The sequence below is a fragment of the Homo sapiens genome, chromosome 3, assembly GCF_000001405.40.
Source record: "Homo sapiens chromosome 3, GRCh38.p14 Primary Assembly".
In the NCBI taxonomy this organism is placed as follows: domain Eukaryota; kingdom Metazoa; phylum Chordata; class Mammalia; order Primates; family Hominidae; genus Homo; species Homo sapiens.
In genome coordinates, this window is record NC_000003.12 from 119,990,764 (window position 1) to 120,008,711 (window position 17,948).

A 17,948-nucleotide genomic window follows, 5' to 3' on the forward strand; every position below is an offset into this window, starting at 1 on the left:
ACTAAAAATACAAAATTATCCAGGAGTAGTGGCGCATGCCTGCAAGCCCAGCTACTTGGGAAGCTGAGGCAGGAGAATTGCTTGAACCCAGGAGGCGGAGGTTGCAGTGAGACAAGATTGCACCATTGCACTCCAGCCTGGGCAACAAGAGTGAAATTCTGTCTCCAATAAATAAATAAATAAAATGGTATTAAAAGTAGACTATGCTCTCCATTCACAACCTAACAATAGTGATACCTCACATCCCTATCCCTCTATATCCCAATTACAGAACAAGTGAAACTAGGCAGGAGACTTGAAACCTATGACTCACTTCAAAGGAGAAATGAATAGTAAATGAAGCCAAGATCACTAATAAACATGCAACTTACTGATTTTCAAGTTGGAACAGTCAGCCTCAACAAACCATAAGGAGGTTTGGGATTGACTGATGTTCTCCCTGTTACAACAGTACAGGTCTCCTACATTAATTAGGTACCTACCCAATCTTTATCCCCACAACACAAATATTTCCTATCACAAGCACTTCCAAACTGCCCAAGTTAAGATAGTTTAAGTACTCTGTCACAGTATGATGGACAACAGTGGGAAAAAAATAAAATACCACTGAAATGAAGATTATACCAGAAATTCTTTTAAAAAGCCCAGTGTCTTAGGTACAGTTTATGTGACTCCTGGCACACAGGGATAATTATTCTTGGTTTTCTTTTTATCTTTGACCATTATCTCTCATCTTTACTATTCACCAAAAAAAAAAAAAAAAAAAAAGCCTCTCACTGCCATTAGGAGATTTCGCAGGTTGGTTTATTTAATTGAACAAGGAGAAGATCCTATTTCAACCTTCTGCTGGAAACACCTAATAATTTAAGGCAATCCCAAACAGCAGCTATGTAAATCACAGATTTTAAAACTACAGACTTTTAAGTTGTCAGAGAAATTCCTATTTTATGATAATCAAGAGAAACAAATAGGTCAATATATCAAATTTTATTTTTTGGCCACAACAAAGAATACTTAAATTCCACAAAGGAAGGGTGATACAAGGAAAAAAACCGAGCTTGGTATAAAGCAGTCCATCACTTTTTAACATGTAGAATAAAAAACAAGAAAAACTATACAATAGCAACAAAAACAATAAAATACTTAAGAATAAACTTAAGAAATTTCTAAAGCCTGACTAAGCCAAAACTTCTGAAAGACATAAAAGTAGATTTGAACAAATGGAAAAATATTTCTTATTCCTGGCTAAGATAATTCAAGCTCACAAATATATCAGTTCTTCCTATATTAATTTATAAATAAAATCCCAATTTAAAAGATCAACACTTTTTTTATAAAGTTAGATAAACTGATGCCAAAGTTCATATAGAAAAATAAACATGTAAAAATAGGTAGGAAAACACCAAAAAGAAAAGCTACAAGGGCATATTAACCCTATCAGACATTAAAACATACTATAAAGTCTCTATAATCAAAACGGTATAGTAGTGACACATGAATATGCAAACAGCTTAGTGGAATAAAATGGAAAGTCCAGAAATAGAGCCAAGTACATGTAGAAATTTAGCATATAATAACAGTAACATCTCAAATAACTGGAACAAAGATAGTCTTCTACTAAATTGTACCCAGACAAGTAGTTAATGATTTAGAAAAGATAAAATTAGATCAATAATTCATACCATAATAGGAATAAACTCCAAATGGATCAGGGATCTAAATGCAAAAACTGAACCCTGATAACTACTAGAGGAAAATATAGATGACTTCCTCTTTAACCTGAGGATAGCTGGAAAGCTTTATAACCATAACACAAAATCCAGATAAAAGAGCAATAAATTCAACTGCATAGAGGGAAGGAAGGACTCTTACATATCAGAAAAAAAAAACTACCATACACAAAGTAAAAATTACACATATCACACCTAATATAAATTCCATAATAAAGTACTCTTCAGGGTTGATTGGGAAAAATCAAAATCACATTTTTAAAATGGACCAAAAAAAGGACAATTCATACAGACTCACAAAAACAAATAAAATGGACCTTGAATACATGAAAAGATGTTAAAGTGTACTCAAAATAGGAAGATTGTAAATTAAAACTATAATGAGATACCATTTCTCACCTATGAGATTAGCAAAAATTTAAAAAGTAAGGCAACTTTTATAGCCAAAACTATGGACCAACAGGCACTCATACTTAACTAGAGAGAATGCAAATTGGTATAACCTTTATGGAGGGGCATTTAGCAGCTGTAAAAAGGATGAAAAAAAAAAAAATCTCTGAACTGATATGCAATGATTGCCAGGAAATATAGCTTAAAGAAAAAGCAAAGTACAAAAGAGTGTCTCCAATATGCTACCTCCTGTGTAAGGAAGAAAAAAAAAAAAAGAAAATGCACAAACGAGCAGGTATGTGTAAAACAAAACTGAGGAAAAGTAAGCCAGAACATAATGAGGTTGGCCATCTACAGGGAGTGAGTGGAAATAAAATAGAAAGAATCGAAAAGAAATGACACTAGATTTCTGACTTTTGGAACCATGTTAGTGTTTCACAGAATGAAAACATAAATAATTTTTTTAATCAAAAAGAAAGGGGGTGAAGTTCTAAGAAGCGATACATACAGAAACAGATGAACCTAACTACTTCAAATTAATAGTCTATGCTACAGGAAAAAATTAAAATTAAAAAAAAAGAAAAACCCAAATACTTTTTGAATATAATATAAAATCCATATGCCTTTCAAGCTAAAGATAAAAAACATAAACAGTGAACTCTTAGTAAGTCCAACTCTGCCCCCAGGGATATGAGTTAGCAGCTCTGAAACTAGCTTGTAAATTCTAGGATTGAGCAAATAAGTAAATATATTGTGGATAACAGCAGCTAGGTTTTCTCAGTTCAGAAAGAGGAGTTACAAATATAGAAATAAAGAAGGCTAGAGTGAACTCTGTGATGTTGCTCTGCAATTAAAAGTATTAATTTTTAATAGAAAGAAATACAGAAAAAAACGTGTGAATATGCTTGCACACATGTGCACACACATACACCTATTCTCTAGTTCTACTGGCTAAGGGGATCTAGATCCAGCTTGAAAGGGCTTTCGCTGACCAAATCTGAAGCAATTTTTTTTGAGACAGAGTCTTGCTCTGTCACCCAGGCTGGAGTGCAGTGATGCAATCTCAGCTCACTGCAAGCTCCACCTCCTGGGCCATTCTCTTGCCTCAGCCTCCCTTACAGGCACCCGCCACCATGCCCAGCTATTTTTTTCTATTTTTTAGTAGAGACGGGGTTTCACCATGTTAGCCAGGATGGTCTCAATCTCCTGACCTCGTGATCCGCCCGCCTCGGCCGCCCTAAGTGCTGGGATTACAGGTGTGAGCCACTGCACCTGGCCTGAAGCAATCTGAGTATCAAAATAAATGACCAAAGATTATAACCCATTTAATAAAATGAGAGTCAATGAGTCCATATGATATATACAATTAAATGAGAGTCAATGAGTCCGTATGATATATAAAATTAAATGAGAGAAGGGAAAAGCTTTCCTCATAATCCTTAGAGTAGAATCTAATTAATAAAGAAAAAAAGAATTAGAAAATCACCATTTGTAGCCATTATTATAATAATTGATTCTAACAAAAACTCATTAATGCATACTAAAACTAGTTGGTAAAAGCTGGATGAGAAAAAGGTTATTTATGTAGTCTAAAAGTATTTTCCTACATATTCCTTATAATTATGAAGAGAAAAACCGTAATTCTACAGTAAAGAAACCTAGCAAACACTACCCTAAGTGATAGAAGTGAATATCATCATTAACTAGACAGACATCATGGGTCTCCTGATATAATGCATTAAGAAGAAAAAAATCATTTCAATGACATTCTTTCCAAAAATGAATATGCTGAACCTAATTATGAAGAAACATTACACAAACCCAAATAGCTGTCCTATACTGTTCAAAAACATGAATGTCATGAAAGACAATAAGTGAGGAACTCTTCCTGGTATAGAAGACTAGAGATATCACAACTAAACACATGACCCAGGATTTTCTTGTGCCACAATGGACATTTTTGGAACAACTGGAGATATTTCAATAAAGCCTGCATATTAGATAATAGTATTGTATAATTGTTAATTTCTTGATTTTTTTATAATTATTATGTGGTTACATAAGCGAATGTCTTTTGAGTTTGGGAAACAGACACTGAATAATTTAGGGATAAAAGAGCCTCATACTTAAAAGTTGCACTCAAACATTTCAGGAAATAATATGTGTAGCCTGGCACACACGTCTATAATCCCAGTACTTTAGAAGGCCAAGGCAGGAGGATCACTTAAGCCCAGGAGTTTGAGACCAGCCTGGGCAAAACAGGGAGACACTGTCTCTACAAAAAAAAAAAAAAAAATTAAAAACTAGCCAGGTGTGGTGGCGCACACCTATGGTTATCTACTTGGGAGGCTGAGGTAGGAGAATCGCTAAAGCCTAGGAGTTGAAGGCTGCAGTAGCCGTGACTTTACCACCGCTCTCCAGCCTGGGTTATACGGCAAGATCTCACCTGAAAAAAATAAAAATAATATATATAGAGAGGAAGAAACTGCAAAAGTGAGTGTGATAAATATTAATATTTGGAAATCTGGATAAAAGGTTTAAGGAAGTTCTTTACAGTAATGGCAATGTTAAGCCTGAAACAATAATTATTTTTTTTTTTTGAGACGGAGTCTCACTCTGTCACCAGGCTGGAGTGCAGTGGCGCGATCTCAGCTCACTGCAACCTCCGCTTCCCGGGTTCAAGTGATTCTCCTGCCTCAGTCACCGTGCCCAGCTAATTTCTGTATTTTTTAGTAGAGACAGGGTTTCACCATATTGGTCAGGATCTCCTCACATCGTGATCCACCCGCCTCGGCCTCCCAAAGTGCTGGGATTACAGGCATGAGCCACCGCACCCGGCCTAAGCCTGAAATAATTTTTTTTTTTTTTTTTTGAGACAGAGTCTCACTCTGTCCCCCAGGCTAGAGTGCAGTGGCGCAATCTTGGCTCACAGCAACCTCTGCCTCCCAGGTTCAAGTAATTCTCCTGCCTCAGCCTTCCAAATAGCTGGGACTACAGGCACGTGCCACCACACTTTGCTAATATTTGTATTTTTAGTAGAGACGGGATTTTGCCATGTTGGCCAGGCTGGTCTCAAACTCCTGACCTCAAGTGATCCTCCTGCCTCAGCCTCCTGAAGTGCTGGGATTACAAGCGTGAGCCACCACTCCTGGCCTAAGCCTGAAATTATATCAAAATAAAAAGTAGCAAAAATCAAATGATTTATGTATATGAAACTAATTTTTAAACTACAAAATGCTATGTGTGCACATTATTACTTTCAAACCGCTCATTAGACAAAACTCTGTATTTATTAAATTAATTGGTGAAATACCCACACAATCCTAGCATAGGCTAAGTTGCAAGTTTCAAGTGTTTGTTATTCTTAAACCACTGTCTGTACATCTTCTCCATCAAAACATGAAAAAAGGACAAAAATCATAATAAAACATTAGATCTACTATTTTGTTACCTAAGCAATAGATCCCCACTTTCTCTGTCAATAAGTACATATAAAAACCATAGTATCTAATACACAATTTCTTGCAAGCCAAGGCTTTGGGTGCTCTCTTGCTTTATTATTTTATTTTCCTGACTCACATCCTTTTATTTTCAGCCAGGTTACTTGTTCCTCTCTGTAATACATGAAAAGTATTCAAATTCCCAGTGAGGACAATCAGAAGTATTACTGTGTTTTACCCTATGCTACCCAATATAAATAGTTTTATTTAGTGTTTTTTTTTTTAATAAAAAAAGAAAGGGTCTCACTGTTTATTAATAGTTTTATTTAAATGTTTGTTTTCAGAGTTCTACAGTTCATTTACATAGGGACATATTTTCAATCTTTAATCAAAGTATTTGACATATTCTTTCTTTAGAACCTTCTTAAAAAGGAATAGTGATGAAAGATACAATGATTAGAAGAAAGGTAGAACAGCTGGTTCCTTGAAAAGAGATGATAACTAAAGCAAAGCTATATAGCAAGTCTGACTGAGAAAAACAAAAAATAAAAGAAAGCACTAATACATAAAATACCTCCAAAAAAAATCACAATGTTAAAACACCTGGAGCAAACAGGATTATTAGAAAGCAAAACCGACTGAATATTATCATGTTTATATATTACATTTAGATCATAGGGAAAAAAACCATAAACCCTATATGAAAATCAGTGTCTAATCATAATAAAAACTGTTCATCTAACAACAGAAAACAAAACAACAAAAACACTCTAGTTCACCAGTAACATTTTAAACTCAGGTTTCTAGGTAAGCTAGAAAATTATAATGAACATGTAATAATATTTAGAAAAGCAACATAGTAAAGTACCCTACTAAAGGGCCTCAGCACATTAAATGCATCTAGAAGATGCCCAAGTTCAAAACCAACGGAGGAGGCAGTGTTCAAATGCCTAAAACAAGACATATTTACATGGAGGAAGACTTGCATTTACATGGAAGATGTATTTACATGGAGGAAGACTTGCATTTACATGGAAGATGTATTTACATGGAGGAAGACTCCCATTCCCAAGAGCAACAGAAAAATTACTACACATATCTAGATTAAAAAAGTAAGAAAAGTTTAAAACGTACATAACTATAAAGTTTTATATCAAAAATGGATTAAATGCTGAGAATTATCACATTTCTGGATGGGAAGGCTGAATATTGTAAATCTGCACATTCTGCCCAACTAATCTGCAAATTTTACACAATTTTAATCAAATCTAAAGTTTGTTTTTGTTTTGTTGGGGTTGCAGGAGAAACATCACAGGCTGATGATATTTGATACACAGATTTTTTTAAGAGAAAAAACAAGGAACACTCAAAATATGCTGTTAGTTCTCATCATCAGAGAAGTGTTACATAAGCCAAAATGGACAAATCAGCGGAAAAGAAAAGGAAACCCAGAAGAAAATCCAATGTATATATGGTAACATAATACATGGTTTTTAAAATGGCATTTGCCCACCAGTGGGAAAAGGATAAACTTTATAAAAATGGTTTCTGAGACAATGACCTACTACTTGGGGAAAGGTTAAGTTATATTACTACTTTACACTACATCCCAAAATATAACCCCAGAAAAATTAAAGAAATATGTGAAAATAAAATTCCTAGAGAAAACGACATTATTTATAAGCAAGATAGAACAGGCCCTTTCTCAGCATTATACCAAAGCCCAAATCAACAATATCTGAAAAGCAAAAGATATCACAAGCAAAGTCAACACAAACTGAAATTATTTTTTCTCACTTTGAGATGATGACAGATGGTTCATATTATTGTGGAGGCAGCTTCTAGGATGGCCCTAAATGATACCTGCCTCCTGGTATTCACACCCTTGTTTAATCAACTCACCAATATTAGGTTAGAAAAACAACTGTGGTTTCTGTCTTGGGCTTACTGTTTTTCCAGTGGCTCCCTTGCCATGTAGGAAGCTAACTGGTAAGACCTCAGAAAGCCCAGTGAACAGGCCCATGTGGCAAGGGACCAAAGTCTGCCAACAATCACATAGTACACTTGGGGACAGATATTTCCTCCTTCAGACAAACCTTCAGATGAGACTGCAGCTCCAGCTGATGCCTGGATTCAGTCTGGTGAGAGGCCCTGGGCCAGAGGTTCCTAGCTAAGCCATGCCTGAATTTCCAACGCACAGAAGCACTGAGATAATAAAATCTTTGTTGCTCTACAAGATTACATTTTAAATGGGTTTTAACAAATGAGTAAGGAAGACACACACTCTAAAAGGGGTAAAAAGGGTCACAACATGTAAAATGGTGTTGTAAATTAAAATAATTTTTCAGGGCCAGGCATGATGATTCAGACCATAATCCCACCACTTTAGGAAGCCAAGAGGGAGAACCAGTTTAGGCCAGGAGCTCAAGACCAACCTGGGCCATGTAGTGAGATGCGTCTCTACAAAAAATTTAAAACAGAAAAGAAAGTAACAAAATATAAAAATAATTTTTCACCTACAGAACTGAAAAACATAAAAATACTCCTAATATCTAAAGGCTACACAGGAAATGGGCATTACTCATATTCAAATAACGTACATTTAAATGGATAAAATCTAACTGGAAGACAGCCTATATCAAGGTTTAAAGTGCTCTCCTATATCAAGGTTTAAAGTTTAAACCCTAGAATTCTACTTTTATAAACTGTATTCTGATAAAGCACATATATACAATGTTTGGCAGGGAAAAAAATTTTAATAGCTATCAATTGAACAATGGCTAATTAGGGTATATCCACACAATAAAATATAATGCAACCATTAGAGAATGAAATAAAACCAATCTCTCTTGAGAAGGAGAAAGAGGGTGTGGTTTAAATATTTTGATAGAAAGAGGTTATGACACTGTGAGAATCTGATACTATGATATAGAAAGAGGATGAATACTGTGAGAGAAAGAGAGAAGGGGTAGAGGGGCTTGATACAGCGAGGATAAAATGTGGTAAGGCACTGGAGAGTCTGTCTAGATTCGAATCCTTGCTCATCCATCCACTTGCCAACTGTGTGACCCTGACAAGTTAATTTAAAATTTCTTTGTACTTAGGTTTCCTTATCCAAATAATAACAATATCAATCACACAGTACTAATGGTAAGAATTATGTAAAACTGCTCATGTCAAAAAATACATATAGTAAGTATCTGCTATCATCATTAACTACCAATCCCAAAAAATGGAATGTGTGGGTATTTAGGAGACAAATATTTAAAAAATGGAGACCCTGTCATAAAAAATATGGAATTTCCTAGGTTATGGACAATATGGGCTCGAGGAATTTAGAATAGCAAGATCTCCATAGCTGACTTGAATCATCTGGGAAGTTTCATACAGGAAGAATTTGACCTGAGTTTTCATAAATGCACAGAATTTAGACAGCAGGAGAATGGGAGTGATAGAAGAGCTGAATAAAAGCAGAGTGGTCATAGAGAAGAACATATTTCAAGGAGAGTAACATAAAAAGTTTGGAAAGTTAAGTATCTGGAGAAAATGGAAGACTATGGAAGTTTCTGCGTACACAAGTAAACTAGGCAGGTTTTACTTTCTAGACTATGAAGAACCATAGAAGATTTATGGGCAAGAGAAACAACATGACCAATGAGAACTCTGGGATTATTCTAGTCTTAGTACACAGAAGAGATTAGAAAGGAGAAGACTAAGGTACACGTTTATAAGTGGTTAAGCCAAATAATGACAGGTTCTGACTAGAATAGTAGTGAAGAGAAAGAAAAAGAAGAGACACAGCCACAAGGCAGTATGAGGAAAAAAGAAAATCAAGTTAAACAATGACTGGATATTAGGGATGAGCAAATGGAACAGTCTGAATAACAGTGAATTATAAAACCATTAAAAAGAAAAGGCAAATCCAAAGTTCTGGGAACTAGCAGGAGAGATTTCCATTGAGTCTTAAAAGTTAAGTCATAGTTAGATAAGATGGCTTGACAATTTGAGATAACAGTACAATATTCAGATATCAAGATCCAGTGGGCATTTGACAACATGAGACTAGTACTTGGGGGAGAGGTGAGAACTGAAAACAAAAACAACTGAATTTTTAAAAATTCTTTAGAATGTTCCAGATATTTACAGCAGATGGACACTAGAATGTGGTATAACTAGTGTTATACCAGAACAGTGATCACTTCTTCTTGTTATATCCCTTCATGTTTACCATAGATCTTGGTACATTGGAGGCTCCCACTAAAATGTTGCAGAGGTTGGAAGAGTAGTAAAGGGAGCAACGCTGCATAGTGACAGAGGCTTAATTACACCCGGTGTCTTCTGACTCTCTCTGCTATACCACAACATAGAGATGACATCTGAGCTTCCATGCATAGGCTCCCCTAATGAGGTACAGAAAATGAAAATACATGACGAGAACTGAATTTTGGGATTGCTAGTGTCTAAAGGCAGAAGGACAAGAAAAAAAAGGGAAGATAGCAAAAAAAAAAAAAAAAAGTTACGAGAAAAATGGATAGTGTTGTAATATGGTTTGGATGTTTATCCCTTTCCAAACCTCATGTTGAAATGTAATCTCCTTTTTTTTTTTTTTTTTTTTTTTTGAGACAGAGTCTCACTCTGTCCCCCAAGCTGGAGTGCAGTGGCGCGATCTCGGCTCACTACAAGCTCTGCCTCCCGGGTTCACGCCATTCTCCTACTTCAGCCTCCCAAGTAGCTGGGACTACAAGCGCCCGCCACCATACCCGGCTAATTTTTTGTATTTTTAGTAGAGACGGGGTAGAGCCTGGTGGGAGGTATTGGATCAAGGGGGTCAACCACTCATGAATGGGGTTAGCACCATCCCCTTGTTGATGAGTGAGTTCCCACTCAGTTAGTTCACAGGAGATCTGGTTATTTAAGAGAGTCTGGGGACGGGCATGGTGGCTCACGCCTGTAATCCCAGCACTTTGGGAGGCTGAGACAGGCGACTTGCCTGAGCTCAGGAGATTGAGACTAGCTTGGACAACATGGCAAAACCCCGTTTCTACAAAATAGTAATAACAATAATAATAATAATAAAGTCTGGATCTCCCCCTTCATGCTCTCGCTCAGCTCTTGCCATGTGATGCACCTACTCGCCCTTCACCTTCTGCCCATGATTAGAAGTTTCCTGAGACAATTACTAGAAGCAGATGTCTGCACCACACTTCCTGTACAGTTTGCAGAATTGTGAGCCAATTAAACCTCTTTTCTTTATAAATTACTCAATATCAGGTATTCCTTTATAGAGATGCAAAAACAGACTAACACAAGTTGCAACATGGATTAAAAAAATTTTTTGAAAAAAGGAAGCATAGTCAAATACATAAAATGCTTATATGCTACAGGCAGTGTTCCTCTGGTCTACATCAACACAGTACAACGGTGAGGACAGGTCACTTTTTATAGTATAAATTAAGAAATTTTAACTTACCTTTCACAGGATTAAAAAATACATATATTACATATGTCATTTGTAATGACTACAAAAGTAATACTGCAATCTTCAGTGAATGTTATCTCTACAAAATACATGACTAGAAATAAAATCACTACAATGGTTGAGCTGAACAAAAATGCGCACAATAGAAGAAATTTGAAGCAAAAAGAAGCAACTAAAAAAATAATCATTTATGGTATATGTATTACGACAGCAACAAAATATATGAAATACTGGACATTTTACCTTAAATCTCTTGTCCTGCAATACTTTCTTGATGGCGACCAGTTCTCCTGAATCACAAAGTTTGGCTTGATATACCACACCAAATGATCCATTTCCAATCACTTTAGTGTCTGTATAGCTGACTTCTTGTGGCCTGTCTGGACCCTGCCCAGGAGTTGCCACCACTGTTGTCACCTTGCTGCCGTCCTTGTCTCCTAAAGGAAGAAAGGAAATTTTTTTTTCACGAGAACTGTAAGGAATTAAATAGAGAAAACTGCCAAAATATACAAGGTAAACTATATTCTTTATTTTTTATTTTATTTTTTTTTTTGAGATGGAGTCTCACTCTTGTCACCCAGGCTGTTGTGCAGTCACACAATCTCGGCTCACTGCAACCTCCGTCTGCCGGGTTCAATCAATTCTCCTGCCTCAGCCTCCCGAGTAGCTAGGATTACAGGCACCTGCCACCACGTCTGGCTAATTTTTGTATTTCTAGCAGAGACGCGGTTTCACCATGTTGGCCAGGCTGGTCTTGAACTCCTGACCTCAGGTGATCCGCCCTCCTTGGCCTCCAAAGTGCTGGGATTACAGGCATCAGCCACCACGCCTGGTCAAAGTAAACTATATTCTTTACTACAAATTATTTTTAGTTTATTACATGTAATTACTTCAATTACTTGTTTCAATTATAAGTCATTTTTTAAACTCCCATGTATTCAGTCATTCTATAGACCAGACACAATGCTTAGTTTCAACCCCATGAGGTAGACAGTACTGTTCCCATATTATAGGTAATAGGAAGAATGTTAAATTTGCCCATGGTCAAATAGCAAAAGGTGAACCCATAAGAGTCTGACCTTATCCATCCAATTCTAAAAGGCCTTAGGGCTTTCTTCAAGACCTTATTTTACTTGAAAATAAAATATGTGCAAATAAAAATGTTTAAAACTTCTCTCTTCAGATCCTTCTGCATTTAGGAAAGTAAGGCTTTGAGTGTTTGCTTCCCTGAATCTTCTTTTTAGCAAAGTAGAAGACCTCTCAGAGAAAGCTCAGGTGGAGAAAAGAATGTTAATTTGGGGTTAACAGATATAAAAATTTAAATAATCCAACCCATTCTGAACTGAGGCCCAATTATATAAGCATATCACTGGCTCCAGGGTCTCTATTCACTCACAGACCTCTTCTTTCCTTTTTTGCCTTCTCTCACCCCAGTAGCAATCCAACGGCTCTCTTCAATTCAGGCACAAGAGCCACCTCCTACTTCACTAGGGATAGTCCACAGTCACCATCTTGTTTTCTGAATTCTTAATCGATTCTGTGTATTATGCTACCTAGTATCTGATCTAAAAGAGCTTTACATTGTTCTTTTAGTGACTTCAACGTACACAAAAATGTCTACTGTTTCTTCTCTCTTCCCTGACAAATCTAAAACCAATTCTCAGTACAATATAAGTCCTTAGGCTCACTTATTGGACTTTTATTTTTTCCTGTTATTCTTCCATTACAATTTCCTTTCTAAAATACTAACTGAATTCCAATTAACCTAATAAAAGAAAAGTAATATAATATTTATGAGTATTTTTCTCTGTGAAATATAAATTGCTAGATAAATGAATATCCAAATGCACTAGTGGAATATTATAACCAATATTTATATCCATTTAAATTCACAGAAGTATTAATATACACAAAAGCCAGTGAATGTCTGTGACCAATTAACACTTTCATTTGTAAGATGGCATTCATGGTCGCTTCCAAGATGGCTGAATAGGAACAGTTCTGGTCTACAACTCCCAGGAAGATCTTTGCAGAACACAGGTGATTTCTGCATTTCCAACTTAGGTACCTGGTTCATCTCACTGGGACTGGTTGGACAGCAGGTGCAGCCCATGGAGGGCGAGCCGAAGCAGGGTGGGGCATTGCCTCACCTGGGAAGTGCAAAGGGTTGGGGGATTTCCCTTTCCTACCCAAGGGAAGGCATGAGTGGCTGTACCTGGAGGAGCGATACACTCCTGCCCAAATACTGCACTTTCCCAATGCTCTTCGCAACAGGCAGACCAGAAGATCCCCTCCCATGCCTGACTCGGCGGGTCCCACGCCCACACAGCCTTGTTCGCTGCCAGCACAGCAGTCTGAGATCAACCTAAGATGTGGGAGCTTGGTGGGGGGAGGGGCGTTTGCCATTGCTGAGGCTTGAGTAGGCAGTTCTATGCTCACAGTGTAAACAAAGCAGCAGGGAAGCTCAAACTCGGCAGAGACCACCACAGCTGAGCAAGGCCTACTGCCTCTCTAGATTCCACCTCTGGGGGCAGGGCATATCTGAACAAAAGGCAGCAGACAGCTTCTGCAGACTTAAACGTCCCTGCCTGACAGCTCTGAAGACAGCAATGGTTCTCCCAGCATGGCGTTTCAGCTCCCGATAAGGGACAGACTGTTATCCAAGTGGTTCCCTGACCCCTGTGTAGCCTGACTGGGAGATATCTCCCAGTAATGGCCAACAGACACCTCATACAGGTGGGTGCCCCTCTGGGACGAAGCATCCAGAGGAAGGATCAGGCAGCAATATCTGCTGTTCTGCAGCCTCCTCTGGTGATACCCAGGCAAACAGGGTCTGGAGTGGACCTCTAGCAAACTCCAATAGACCTGCAGCTAAGGTACCTGACTGTTAGAAGGAAAACTAACAAACAGAAAGGAACAGCATCAACATCAACACAAAGGACATCCACACCAAAACCCCATACGTAGGCCACCAACATCAAAGACCAAAGATAGATAAAACCACAAAGATGGGGAGAAACCACAGCAGAAAGGTTGAAAATTCCAAAAACCATAACGCCTCTTCTCCTCCAAAGAAACACAACTACTCGCCAGCAAGGGAACAAAACTGGATGCAGAATGAGTTTGACAAGATGACAGAAGTAGGCTTCAGAAGGTCAGTAATAACAAACTTCTCCAAGTTAAAGAAGTATGTTCTAACCCATTGCAAGGAAGCTAAAAACCTTGACAAAAGGTTAGACGAATGGCTAACTAGAATAAACAGTGTAGAGAAGAGCTTAAATGACCTGATGAAGCTGAAAACCAGAGTATGAGAACATGGTGAAGCATACACAAGCTTCAGTAGCTGATTCAATCAAGCAGAAGAAAGGATATCAGTGACTGAAGATCAAATTAATGAAATAAAGCGAGAAGACAAGATTAGAAAAAAAAGAGTGAAAAGAAATGAACAAAGCCTTCAAGAAATACGGCATTATGTGAAAAGACCAAATCTACGTTTGAATGGTGTACCTGAAAGTGATGGGGAGAATGGAATCAAGTTAGAAACCACTCTTAAGGATATTCACCAGGAGAACTTCCCCAACATAGCAAGGCAGGCCAACATTCAAATTCAGGAAATACAGAGACCACCACAAAGATACTCCTCAAGAAGAGCAACCCCAAGACACATAATTGTCAGATTCACCAAGGTTTAAATGAAGGAAAAAATGTTAAGGGCAGCCAGAGAAAGGTTGGGTTACCCACAAAGGGAAGGCCATCAGACTAACAGCAGATCTCTCGGCAGAAACTCTACAAGCCAGAAGAGAGTAGGGGGAAAATATTCAACATTCTTAAAGAAAAGAATTTTCAACCCAGAATTTCATATCCCGCCAAACTAAGCTTCATAAGTGAAGGAGAAATAAAATCCTTTACGGACAAGCAAATGCTGAGAGATTTTGTCACCACCAGGCCTGCCTTACAAGAGCTCCTGAAGGAAGCACTAAACATGGATAGCAACAACCGGTAGCAGCCATTGCAAAAACATGCCAAATTATAAAGACCATCGATGCTAAGAAGAAATTGCATCAATTAATGGGCAAAATAACCAGCTAGCATCATAATGACAGGATCAAATTCACATATAACAATATTAACCTTAAATGTAAATGGGCTAAATTCCCCAATTAAAAGACACAGGCTGGCAAACTGGATAAAGACTCAAGACCCATCAATGTGCTGTATTCAGGAGACCCATCTCACGTGCAAAGACACACATAGGCTCAAAATAAAGGGATGGAGAAAGATCTACCAAGCAAATGGAAAGCAAAAAAAAATCCTGGTCTCTGATAAAATAGACTTTAAACCAACGAAGATCAAAAGAGACAAAGAGGGCCATTACATAATGGTAAAGTGATCAATTCAACAAGAAGAGCTAACTATCCTAAAATATATGCACCCAATACAAGAGCACCCAGATTCATAAAGCAAGTCCTTGGAGACCTACAAAGAGACTGAGACTCCCACACAATAATAATGGGAGACTTTAACACCCCACTGTCAATATTAGACAGATCAAGGAGACAGAAAATTAACAAGGATACTCAGGACTTGAACTCAGCTTTGGACCAAGCGGACCTAATAGACACCTACAGAACTCTGCACCCCAAATAAACAGAATATACATTCTTCTCAGCACCACATCCCACTTATTCTAAAATTGACCACATAATTGGAAGTAAAGCACTCCTCAGCAAATGTAAAAGAACAGAAATCACAACAAACTGTCTCTCAGACCACAGTGCAATCAAATTAGAACTCAGCATTAAGAATCTCATTCAAAACCACACAACTGCATGGAAACTGAACAACCTGCTCCTGAATGACTACTTGGTAAATAACGAAATTAAGACAGAAAGAAATAAGTTATTTGAAACTAATGAGAACAAAGACACAACATACCAGAATCTCTGGAACACATTTAAAGCAGTGTTTAGAGGGAAACTTAGAGCACTAAATGCCCACAAGAGAAAGCAGGAGAGATCTAAATCAACATCCTAACATCACAATTAAAAGAACTAGACAAGCAAGAGCAAACAAATTCAAAACCTCGCAGAAGACAAGAAATAACTAAGATCAGAGCAGAAGTGAAAGAGATAGAGACAGAAAAAAAACCTTCAAAAAAAAAAATAAATGAATCCAGGAGCTGATTTTTTGAAAGATCAACAAAATAGACCATTAGCAACACTAATAAAGAAGAAACGAGAGAAGAATCAAATAGATGCAATAAAAAATGATAAAGGGGATCACCACTGATCCCACAGAAATACAAACTACTATCAGAGAATACTATAAACACCTCTACGCAAATAAACTAGAAAATCTACAAGAAATGGATAAATTCCTGGACACATACACCCTCCCAAGACTAAACCAGGAAGTCGAATCTCTGAATAGATCAATAACAGGTTCTGAAATTTAGGCAATAATTAATAGCCTACCAACCAAAAAAAGTCCAGGACCAGACAAATTCACAGCCGAATTCTACCAGAGGTACAAAGAGGAGCTGGTATCATTCCTTCTGAAACTGTTCCAATCAATAGAAAAAAGGGGAATCCTCCCTAACTCATTTTATGAGGCTAGCATCATCCTGATACCAAATGATATCTGGCAGAGACACAACAACAAAAAAAAAGAAATTTAGACCAATATCCCTGATGAACACTGATGCGAAAATCCTCAATGAAATACTGGCAAATCGAAACCAGCAGCACATCAAAAAGCTTATCCACCACGATCAAGTCGGCTTCATCCCTGGGATGACAGGCTGGTTCAACATATGCAAATCAATAAATGTAATCCATCACATAAACAGAACCAATGACAAAAACCACATGATTATCTCAATAGATGCAGAAAAGGCATTCAACAAAATTCAACAGCCTTTCATACTAAAAACTTTCAATAAACTTGGTATCGATGGAACGTATCTCAACATAACAAGAGCTATTTATGACAAACCAACAGCCAATATCATACTGAATGGGCAAAAGCTGGAAGCATTCCCTTTGAAAACCGGCACAAGACAAAGATGCCCTCTCTCATCCCTCCTAGTCAACATAGTATTGGAAGTTCTGGCCAGGGCAATCAGGCAAGAAAAAGCATAAAGCATATTCAAATAGGAGGAGAGGAAGTCAAATTGTCTCTGTTTGACGTCTCAGGCCAAACACTCCTTAAGCTGATAAGCAACTTCAGCAAAGTCTCAGGACACAAAATCAATGTGCAAAAATCACAAGCATTCTTATACACCAATAACAGACAAACAGCCAAATCATGAGTGAACTCCCATTCACAATGGCTACTAAGAGAATAAAATACCTAGGAATACAACTTACAAGGGATGTGAAGGACTTCTTCAAGGAGAACTACAAACCACTGCTCAAGGAAATAAAAGAGGACACAAACAAATGGAAAAACATTCCATGCTCATGCATAGGAAGAATCAATATCGTGAAAATGGCCTTACTGCCCAAAGTAATTTATAGCTACCACTGACTTTCTTCACAGAATTGGAAAAAACTACTTTAAATTTCATATGGAAACACAAAAGAGCCTGCATACCCAAGACAATCCTGGGCAAGAAGAACAAAGCTGGAGGCATCATGTAACCTGACTTCAAACTTTACTACAAGGCTACAGTAATCCAAACAGCATGGTACTGGTACCAAAACAGATATATAGACCAAAGGGATAGAACAGAGGCCTCAGAAATGCCACCACACATCTACCACCATCTGATCTCTGACAAATCTGACACGCACAGGCAATGGGGAAAAGATTCCCTATTTAATAAATGGTGCTGGAAAAACTGGCTAGCCATGTGCAGAAAACTAAACTGGACCCCTTCCTTACACCTTATAGAAAAATCAACTCAAG

General features: G+C 37.5%; 1 protein-coding gene across 4 annotated transcripts in view, besides 2 other annotated features; it reads right to left on the bottom strand.

The window, feature by feature from the left end:
- Positions 1-17,948, bottom strand: part of GSK3B (glycogen synthase kinase 3 beta) — a 273,127-nt gene that overhangs the window by 169,443 nt on the left and 85,736 nt on the right. For all 4 annotated transcript variants that reach the window (NM_001354596.2, NM_001146156.2, XM_006713610.4 and 1 more), the window contains exon 2: positions 11,283-11,476. In NM_001354596.2, the coding sequence (NP_001341525.1) occupies positions 11,283-11,476 (194 nt within the window). The remainder of the gene's footprint in view (positions 1-11,282; positions 11,477-17,948) is intronic.
- Positions 12,783-13,309: an enhancer, noted in NCBI's record as "OCT4-NANOG-H3K27ac-H3K4me1 hESC enhancer chr3:119722393-119722919 (GRCh37/hg19 assembly coordinates)". NCBI's record gives its function as "activates a minimal SCP1, AML or CMV promoter by ChIP-STARR-seq in primed H9 embryonic stem cells {active_cell/tissue: H9 hESC(primed)}" and the evidence as "EXISTENCE:reporter gene assay evidence [ECO:0000049][PMID:30033119]".
- Positions 13,310-13,835: an enhancer, noted in NCBI's record as "OCT4-NANOG-H3K27ac-H3K4me1 hESC enhancer chr3:119722920-119723445 (GRCh37/hg19 assembly coordinates)". NCBI's record gives its function as "activates a minimal SCP1, AML or CMV promoter by ChIP-STARR-seq in naive and primed H9 embryonic stem cells {active_cell/tissue: H9 hESC(naive and primed)}" and the evidence as "EXISTENCE:reporter gene assay evidence [ECO:0000049][PMID:30033119]".